General features: G+C 35.2%; 1 long non-coding RNA gene across 11 annotated transcripts in view; it reads right to left on the bottom strand.

Annotated features, from left to right (window-relative positions):
• The window catches only part of LOC105376050 (uncharacterized), a 108,520-nt gene that overhangs the window by 61,001 nt on the left and 36,707 nt on the right, over positions 1-10,812 (bottom strand). Inside the window, exon 1 of one of the 11 annotated variants that reach the window (XR_007061494.1) lies at positions 7,877-7,995. The exons of 8 other annotated variants lie outside the window; for them this stretch is intronic. This is a non-coding gene — a long non-coding RNA (uncharacterized LOC105376050). Of the gene's footprint in view, positions 1-935; positions 1,218-7,876; positions 7,996-10,812 lie in introns of those variants that run through there. 2 more of the 11 variants (XR_001746438.2, XR_001746439.2) reach the window with 2 other exon arrangements.

Below are 10,812 nucleotides of genomic sequence, written 5' to 3'. Positions count from 1 at the left end.
ATGAAGAAATGAATTCTAAGAACAGTGAGACAAAAGCAACAAGTAACCTATAAAGGAAAACCTATTAGACTAACAGCAGACTTCTCAGCAGAAATCTTACAGGCCAGAAGTTCACTGTATCTTTAGGCTTATCTTTAATATCCTTAGACAAAATAACTATTAGTCAAAAATTTTGTATCCAGCAAAACTGAGTCTCATAAATGAAAGAGAAATAATGTCTTCCTCAGACAAGCAAATGCTGAGGGAATCTGTCCCTATCAGACCAGTCCTACAAGAAATGCTAAATCTTGAAACAAAATGTTGAGCTGCATCAGAACCTAACATACAAAGATTCTCATAGACTCAAGGTAAGGGGGTGGAGAAAGATATTCAATGCAAATGGAAACCAAAAGCAAGCAGGTATAGTTATATCAGATAAAGTAGACTTTAAAGCAACAATAGTAAAAAAAAAAACCAAAGAAAGTCATTACATAATAATTAAATAATTAATTCAACAAAATATAATAATTCTACATAAGTATGCACATAACACTGGAGCTCCTACATTTATAAAACAATTACTACTAGACCTAAGAAAAGGAATAGACAGCAACACAATAATAGTGAGGAACTCTAACACTCCACTGACAGCACTAGACAGATCACTGAAGCAGGAAGTCAACAACAACAAAAACAAAAAAACACTGGACTTAAGTTGCAGTCCAGAAGAAATGGACCTAACAGACGTTTACAGAACATTGTACCCAAAAACCACAGAATTCACATTCTTCTCATCAACACATAGAACAGCCTCCAAGACAGACCATAGGATAGGCCACAAAAACAAATCTCAATAAATTTTAAAAAGTCAAAATTATATAAAGTATCTTCTCAGGTCACAGTGAAATAAAACTAGAAATGAGCTCCAAAAGGAACCCTTAAAACTATACAATTACCTGGAAATTGAACAATCTGCTTCTTAATGATTACTGGGTTAACAATGAAATGAAGAAAGAAATTAAAAAATTCTTTAAATGGATGATTATAGTGACACAAGTTATCAAAACCTCTGGGACATAGCAAAAGCAATGCTAAAAGGAAAGTTTCTAGCACTGAACACCTACGTAAAAAAGTCTGAAAGATTACAAATTCGCAACATAATGTCATACCTCAAGAAACTATAGAAACAACAAATCAAACTTAAAGCCAGGAGAAGAAAAGAAAGATTACAGCAGAACTAAATGAAATTGAAATAAAAATACAAAAGTTTAATGAAACAAAATTTGGTTATTTGAAAATAGAAATAAAATAGATCATTAGTTAGAAGAATTAAGATTGTTAGAACAATTAACAATTGTTCTAACAATTAGAACGATTAACAATTGTTCTAACAATTAGAACGATTAACAATTGTTCTAACAATTAGTTAGAACATTAGTTAGAACAATTAAGAAGATAGAAGTTTAAATTAGCTCAATTAGAAATGAAAATGGAAACATTTTAACCAATATCACAGAAATATAAAAGATCATTTGAGACTACTATGTAACCTCTATGCACATAAAAATAAAAGTAAAGAAAATAGATAGATTCCAGGAAACATACAACCCTACCAGCTTAAACCAGGAAGAAATAGGTATCCTTACAGACCAATAACAAGCAGTGAGATTGTATAAGTAAGAAAAAAAAAATGCCGACTAAAAAACCCAGACAGATCACAGCCAAATTCTATCAGACATTCAAAGAAGAACTGGTACCAAGCCTACTGAAACTACTCTAAAAGACTGAGAAAAAGGGAATCCTCCTTAACTCATTCTATGAAGCCAGTATCACCCTGATACCAAAACCAGAAAAAGGCATATCATAAAAAAAGAAAACTACAAATGAACATCTCTGATAAAGACATATGCAAAAATTCTTAACAGATACTGGCAAATCAAATCCAAAAGCATATCAAAAAGACAATTCACTATAATCAAGTGAGTCTCATCCCAGGGAGGCAAGGATGACTCAACATACGCAAGGTAATAAATGTGATGTATTTTATAAACAGAATTAAAAACCAAATACGTATGATCATCTCAATAGATGCATAAAAACATTCAGTAAAATCCAGCATTGCTTTATGATAAAAACCCTAAACAAACTAGACATAGAATAAACATATCTCAAAATAATAAAAGCTATATATGACAAACCCATGGCCAACATCATATTGAATGGGGAAAAGTTGAAAGTCTTCCCACTGAGGGCTAGAACAAGTTAAGGATGCCCATTTTCACCACTTCTACTTAACATAGTACTGGAAGTCCTACCCAGAGCAATCAAGCAAGAGGAAGAAATAAAGGGCATCCAAGCTGGAAAAGAGGAAGACAAATTATCTCTGTTTGCTGATGATTTAAGCATATACTTAGATAAGCCTAAGAATTCCACCAAAAGACTCTTCTATTTGATGAATGAATTCATAAAATCTTAGGTTACAAAATGAATGTACACAAATTAGTACTACTGCATAGCACCAACAATGATCAAGCTGAGAATCAAATCAAGAACTCAATTTCTTTTACAATAGCAGCAGAAAAAAAATTGAAATACACTTAACCAAATAAGTGAAAGATCTCCATAAGGAGAGCTACAAAAACTGCTGAAATAAATTAGAGATGATATAAACAAATGGAAATACATCCCATGCTCATGGATAAGAAGAATCATATTTGTGAAAATGACCTTACTGCTAAAAGCAATCTACAGATTCAATGCACTTCCTATCAAAATACTGACATCATTTTTCATAGAATTAGAGAAAGCAATTCTAAATTCTTATGAAACCAGAAATAAGCTTGAATTAAAAAAGCAACTCTAAGCAAAAAGAACAAATCCAGAGGCATAGTTTTAAGAGACTTCAAGTTATAATACAAGGTTTTAGTAATCAAAACAGCATGCATGGTACTGGTATAAAGGTAGATAAATAAACCAAAGGAAAGGAATAGAGAAACCAGAAATAAAGCCAAATGTATACAACCAACTGATCCTCCACAAAGCATTCAAAAACATAAATAGGAAAGGACACCCTATTCAATAAATGATGCAGGGAAAACAAGACAGCCACATGTAGAAGAATGAAACTGGATCACTCTTTCTCACCATCTACAAAAATTAGAAGATGGATCAGACTTAAATATAAAACCCAAAACCATAAAAATTCTGGAAAAAAACTAAGAAAAACACATCTGGATATTTACCTAAGCCAAAACTTTATGACTAAGACTCCAAAAGTAAATGCAACAAAAGCAAAAATAAATAAAAAGGACATAAGTAAACTAAAAACCTTCACAGCAAAAGAAATAATCATCACAGTAAACAGATAACTCAGAGAATAGAAGAAAATGTTTACAAAGTATGCATCTAGCAAATAATTAATATCTAGAATTAACAAGGAAAACAAATCAGCAAGAAAAAATAATCCCAACAGAAAGTGAAAAAAAATTACATGAATAGACATTTCTCAAAAGAAGATATACAAATGACCAACAAACATATAAAAAATTCTCAATGTCACTAATCATCAAAGAAATGCAAATTAAAACCACAGTGAGATACCATCTTTTCCCAGCATAATAGCCATTATTAAAAAGTCAAAAAAAACAAAGAAACAGATTTTGGCATGAATGTGGTGAAAAGGGCATGCTTATACATTGCTGGTGGGAATGTAAATTAGTACATCCTTTATGTAAAGCATTATGGAGATTTTTGAAATAACTAAAAGTAGATCTAGCATTCAGTCCATCAATCCCACTACTGGTTAACTACTCAAATTAAAAAAAGTCATTGTATCAAAAATACACCTGCATGTATATGTTTATTGCAGTACAATTCACAATTACAAAGATACAGAACCAACCTAAGTGCTCCTCAACCAATGAGTGGATAAAGAAATGTGGTAAACATACACCATGACATACTACTCAGCCCTAAAAAGAATGAAATAATGTCATTTGCAGCAACTCCAACTGGAGCTGGAGGCCATTATTCTAAGTGAAGTAACTCAGGAATGGAAAACCAAATATCATATATTCTCACTTTTAAGTGGTAGCTAAGCCATGGGTATGCATACAGAGTGGTATAATGGACATTGGAGACCACTAAGGGGGAGAGTAGGAGGTGGGTGAGGGATAAAACACTACATATTGGGTACAATGTACACTACTTGGGTGACAAGGGCACCAAAATCTCAGACTTTACCACTCTGTAACCAAAAACCACTTGTTCCCCAAAAGTTATTGTGTTATATATGTATATTACATATGTCTAAGTATAGCCATAGATATCCAGGATTTTTTTTTATCCTTAAAAAACCATATGATTTAAGAGAACTTAAAGTTATTAAAATATATTATTATTTTAATTCTCCATCTCCCCTGGTAGTGTGCTATGCAAATAATAATGAGGAGATATTAAAGGTCCCTGGGTTTCTCATGGATTCTCTCAAAGCACTAGCTTCTTGAGACTCTTCACACACTGAGAGAATTAGATCTGTAGCCCTTTGTCCAGTTAATTTCTCTGATTTGCAACAATAGGAAAACTTCTTTTACTCCCCTAAGAGGGTCAAATTTTTAAAATCCTTAGATTACTAGGTTCCTAGGTTAAGTACTAGGGTAAGAGGAAGACTAGGTTTTTGTATTCATATGTCAAAAGATATGATGTTCCAGAATTTGGAGACAGCTATAGGTCATAAAAACTTGGAGATACAGGGTTATTTGGTTCCAGGAGAGATTTTACAACATTCCAAAAGTTTGGAATAAAGAAGATATCCTCTTAGAAGGACAGAAAAACAGCCGTTTCCGTCCTATTATAAGTATAAAAACAAAGACAAGGAAAAAAACCATTGTTCTTAACTTCTTGCTTTCAGAGAGTCTGGCCTCTCACTAGGATGATCTGGATCTCTTTATACTGTCCAAAGATAAGAACTGGGAAAAGGAGCAGCCAACACACATTATTAAGAAATCTGTTTCTGACTGAGAACACTGTGTGGACATTTAAAATAAAATTAACAAACTTGAGCCCAGGAGTTTGAGGCTGCCATGAGCTATGATGGCATCACTACACTCTAACGTGGGCAACTAAGTGAGAACCAGTTTCTAAATAAATAAAGAAATAAAAACATAAATAGTAAAATGAATAAGATGAGTATTAAAAGCCCAAAAACAGATTCTCAAATTTTGTTGAATATGTGAATGGATGAATAAATATGAAATGTAGATGGAGACATTAGGAAGAAGTTAGCTTCCACTGAAAAATATACACAAATCAAATTCCAAATAATTAAATATGTAGAATATAGCTTGTTTACAACAATAAAAAATAATGTTCTCTGTCAGAGAAAATTAAGAAAAGCAATTTAAACTCAACTGTTATAGAAAGAAAGATTACTATCTATTTAGCAGTGCTTAAAAAGGAGGTCATAGAGAATTAATTCCAATATAAACCTGACATGAACAGCAATGCAAAAAATTTGGACTCAATGTAAAATATTATTTGATGGTGTGAATAAATAATGAAATAAATGTTCATAAGATAAATTGTTGAAATAATTTGAAATCATTTTTGAATAATTATTGAAATAATTAAATAAATTGTTCATGAAAAATTACTCATCTTGAGGAAGACAATCCCCATTTTACTACAATTTCATTATTTTATATTGGCAAGAGAAGAAATATTTTGAAAAACATTAATAAAGTTGACTTAAACAGGAGTATGATCCTCTTTCAGATGCAAAATAGAAGATAGGGGATGGAGCAAGTCTACCTTCCTTAAAAAGGTAGCTGAAGTCATCAGGAATTGTTTGTGTCATGCTACAGACCTATACTGAAGAATAATAAATGAAACAGACTTATGAACTCATCAGATATATTTACACTAAGCATACTGATTAGAAAGTTCTCCTCATGTAATTTCTTCTTCCTGAACGATCTCAAAAAAATATAATTTCAGGTCTAGATAATTGAAATAAAAGTGCATCCCTGAAACAAATTATTTAGCTCTTACTTTTTATAAATACTCTAATTGCTAAACTTATCAGGATCATGACCTACTTTGTATAGACAAATTAAATTCTAATTCTCCAGATCACAATATATAGGCTTTAAGTCACCATAATTTTTCCCCATTTGCCTCATTTCTGCCTTTCTTTGAGGTCTCTACCTTTTGTAACTAGTTTTTAATTTGTAAAATATTTACTTAATATTAGCTGATTTATAATGAATTAGTTTAGACTAGAATGGCATTTGAATACTTGTTGAAAATAATATCACTTGTAGACCCAGAATACTTTGGTAGCTACTTCATTTTCTCTGTCTCTTTCTGAAAAGTTAGCCAGCTTGCTTTAGGCAGACACTAAGGGAAGGGTCCCCCAGAGAACCTCCTATCTGCTCCACAAGTGTTTATACCAGATGTTTTGTGCACATAAGGGTACTTGCTCCGGGGGCTTGCCTAAACATGCCCGCAGTGGAAAATTTTGTTTCTTAACACGTGGGCAGTAAGAAAAATAAATCAATATGGAATGTCTCAGACTAAGGGTCTGCATGCACTCTGGAAGGATGCAGTGGAGCCTACAGGAATTCACGCCTTATACAAATAGGGAACTCAGCCCCATCAGCTTATATAAAAATGCCTTTGATTCACCTGTGAAGAGGGCAACCGGGAACCTACTTTCAGGACTCCTCTCTTTGCTGAGAGCTTTCCTTTAACTTAATAAATTCTATACAATTCAGAACAATGTGCTCTCCCTCCGTTTTTAGAGACATGTCCCTTACCCCAACCTCCAATGGCCACAGGTACACATGTGAGACAAATGGGAGAGTGGCAACTCCCAACCCCCTCCCCTCCCGTCTGGGGCACATAGCCCAAGGGCCCCACTTGGCTAGGTGGCCAGCTTTTCCTGCTCACTCTTCCCTCTCCCCATGCACCCACAGTGTCTTTCCTCCCCTGGCTGAGCCAGAAAGGAGGAGACAGCAATTAAAATGTTCTCTCCCTATTGGAGGAACTCATTTGCATAAGAATAAAAGGTTTCTCCTCCAGGCATCTTCCCCACCCTGCACTTAAGCTGTTTTATTTTATTTTTTTTTCTTTTCTCCACTTTGTAAGGAGTTAACTTTTATGAGAGGTTTTTTGTTGGTTTTTGTTTTTGTTTTTTCTTATTAGGCCAGGACCCCAATTCCCAAGACAGCCTTTTCTCTCCCTTGTTTAAGGAAGACCCAGCTCCAAAGCTTTAGGTTAGCATGACTCATTGCTGCCGATTAGGCCCCCTTCCATCTCGTGGATAGAGGTCATTCTAGTATCCACGGCATGTATGAAATCCAGAGAACTCAAAAGTTATCGACAACAGTGGGACAAGCAGCGCATGGGTAATGGTGGATAACTCGCACCCTGTAAGCCCCCTGTTAACATAGGTGAAAGCTGCACTGGCACCCATGGGTGGTAACCTGCCAAGATCACCAGGACTCAGGGATATAAGAACAGAAGAAAGAAAGAGGACACTTTTCTCCTCTCCCTCATGTACCTCAGGTATTTACTAGGAAAAAGAAGAAACTAGGGATGCCTTGCTCCCCTCTTCTTAGGTGAGTAACCAATCATCTGCAGCCCATATTTCTCTTGATTGCCTCCTGAATCACTAGGACTCTTCTGGAAAAACACCTCCTTTCTCCTTTTTCCTCCTCTGTCCTCTCTTTGTGGGTGGGTCATTGTGTCGCTGTACCACAGGACACTCCCTTTGGATGCATCTCTTAAACTGGGAAAAGTTAATTTCTCCAAACCTTAAACTGCTTGGCTCAAAACTGAGCATGAAAAAGGGCAACTCAGAAGCCTGGTACACCAGCAAAAGGGTAAAAGTTCTTACCAGGGCCGGGTGCAGTGGCTCACGCCTGTAATCCCAGCATTTTGGGAGGCCAAGGCAGGCGGATCATGAGGTCGGGAGATGGAGACCATCCTGGCTGACACGGTGAAACCCCATCTCTACTAAAAATAACAACGACAACAACAACAAAAAATTAGCCGGGCGTGGTAGCGGGCACCTGTAGTCCCAGCTACTCCGGAGGCTGAGGCAGGAGAATGGCGTGAACCTGGGAGATGGAGCTTGCAGTGAGCGGAGATCACACCACTGCACTCCAGCCTGGGGACAGAGGGAGACTCTGTCTCAAAAAAAAAAAAAAAAAAAAAAAATAGTTCTTACCAGTCAGACTTCTGGCCTCCTTCTCCCTGTGCAAACCAGTTGAATAAATGATAAAATCCCTGTTTAAATCACTGTTTATATACTCTCTGAAGTTCTGATAAATAGAAAAAAAGGATTTATGAGGCTAGTCTTAAGCTGTAGCCAATGTAGTGTGCTTTGTGTGTCTTTCTGTATAGTTCTGTCATAAAGAGGGGTACCTTAGGATAGAATGCAGGCCTAGGACCCCAAAAGTTTGCTGATCAAACCAGCCTGGCAAACTGGTCAGTAACAAACCTTGCTGCAGTTCTTCATCTTGTTTTTTGTCCTTAGGAGCTTGACCTTGTAACCACTTGATAATACTTTCTTTTGGCCTCTGCCATTTTACAATGGTGGCCTGGGTTTAATCCCGGCTTAGGGAATGAGTATATTTTGGCCAATATCTGTGTGACTTTTACCATTTGCTGATTCTCTTCCCCTCTATAAACAACTTTAGCTTCCTTTCTTAAATCTTCCTTTGTCTGAACCAACTTTAAAGATCTTAGATTCTGTAAAAACTGCTTAGCACCTCTTTGAAAATAACTTTTACACTTACAGTTAAGTCATAACCTTAGTTGAGGCTTGTTGGTTTCACCTGTGAGGTTATTTTTAATAAAGTTCAAAAGCCAGAAATATTGGCTGCTCGGCATGGCTAAAGTTGGGTAATAGATATGAAACGATTTTCTTAGAGCACAGCTGAATTCAAAGTGGATATCCAAGTTATAGGTATATTTAAAGGCCTTTAAATTTTTCTCTGCATGGATCTTGTTTTTCTGGAAAAAGGTTCTTTCTCTGTTGAATGATTTTTTTTTTCCCATTTTGTCTTGTCATTCAGTGCATACATGAGAGGCTCTAAGATAACTTCTGATAGCCCGGGGCTCCTGGGAAAAAACAAAGAAGGTGCCGCAGACCCCATTTTGGGGAAAAAACACCCTCTGTTTTCCTCACGAAACTCCAGGAATTAAAAGTGGATAGATCCTTCTCAAAATCTGTCTCTGTCTTCCAGCTATGCCTGTTTATTAGGCCCTAGAAACTGTATGCTGTCCTAGACCCTGCTCTTGAAGGGCTTCACCCAGAGGCCAATAATCTATTCAGAAGATTGGCAAATGAAAAATCTTACAAGTACTGAATTTGCTTTTGTTCATCTGTGTAATTTTATATTTCTTATGGGCGTGATGTTTATATAAAAAAGCTCTAGGAAAATAAGCACTTAGATCAAATATTTTTTGAAGAAAAATAAAAGCTGTAATACCTTTTCAGTTCACATGACTATAATCTTTAAGAAATAAAGGCTGTTTTAAAAATAATTGGTAAAATACAAATGTCTTTAAAATGTAAATATGTGGGCTGAATCATGTAGGTCAAATGCTAGGTTAGCTAAATGCTTCAAAGTTATTAACTGCTTCTTTGGCTTTTAAGAACTATTTGATGAAGTTTGGCTCTGTGTCTCCACCCAAATCTCATCTTGTAGCTCCCGTAATTTCCATGTGTTGTGGCAGGGACCCAGTGGGAGATGATTGAATCATGAGGGTGGGTCTTTTTATGCTGTTCGCATGATAGTAATGGGTTTCATGGATCTGATGGTTTTAAAAATGAGAGTTTCTCTGCACAAGCTCTCTTTTTTGGTTTGCCACCATCCACATAAGATGTCACTTGCTCCCCCTTGCCTTCTGCTATGATTGTGAGGCCTCCTCAGCCACGTGGAACTGTAAGTCCAATTAAACCTCTTTCTTTTGTAAATTGCCCAGTCTCAAGATTGTCTTTATCTGCAGCATGAAAATTGACTAATACACTATTCAATTTGCCTGCTTCACAATTAATAAGTCCAGGGACATATGGAATTAACCACACCCTTAATTATGCAGGAAGGAATCAGACTTTATTTATGCCTACTACATAATTAAAGCAACTTGCCAGGTTTTACATTAAAGTTAAAAATTGCTAGGAGTTACCATAATAATCTGTAATCGAGACAATGAAAATAGATTTACATATAAGGTAAGTAAGGAAAGTAAAATATGTTTTTAGTAAAAGATTATAAGAATGCATGAAAATGTAAATTTTTGCCTTGGGTTAAAGGATTGTTTTGAATTAGATAAGATAAAGCTGAAGGTTTAAACAAATGGTGAAAAGTTTGTAAAACTTAATCTTGCAAAAGAAATTGTGTGAACATATTGGCTAATTTCAAAAAAGTATTTTGTTTTTGTAAATTGAGCATTGAAATAAAAGCACAACAAGGTTTTCTAAAGGCGCTGACCTGCTCTTTAACAACAATTTGTAAAGGGTTATAAAAGTTTAAAAAAATCTCACCTCATGGTCAAACTAGATAAGATTAGATATAATTATCTATAAGTTTTCATTAAAAAAATTAGGGTTGACATCAACAGTAGACTAATGCAAGGATGAAATTAGGCTTTCACTTGAACAGCATTTCCCTGTAAAATTAACGACAGATTGTTTGGAAAGCTAAATTTTCCCTCTTCCTGTGAATATGCTTTTGCGTTGTTTTAAAATGTTTGAGTCATCATTTTGGCTAAAATAAATGACATGTGGTAACTTGGAATTCTATTTTATAGTATCAAGTGCTT

The sequence above is a fragment of the Homo sapiens genome, chromosome 9 (genome assembly GCF_000001405.40).
Source record: "Homo sapiens chromosome 9, GRCh38.p14 Primary Assembly".
Lineage (NCBI taxonomy): Eukaryota > Metazoa > Chordata > Mammalia > Primates > Hominidae > Homo > Homo sapiens.
This window is presented reverse-complemented; position numbering and strand designations above follow the sequence as displayed.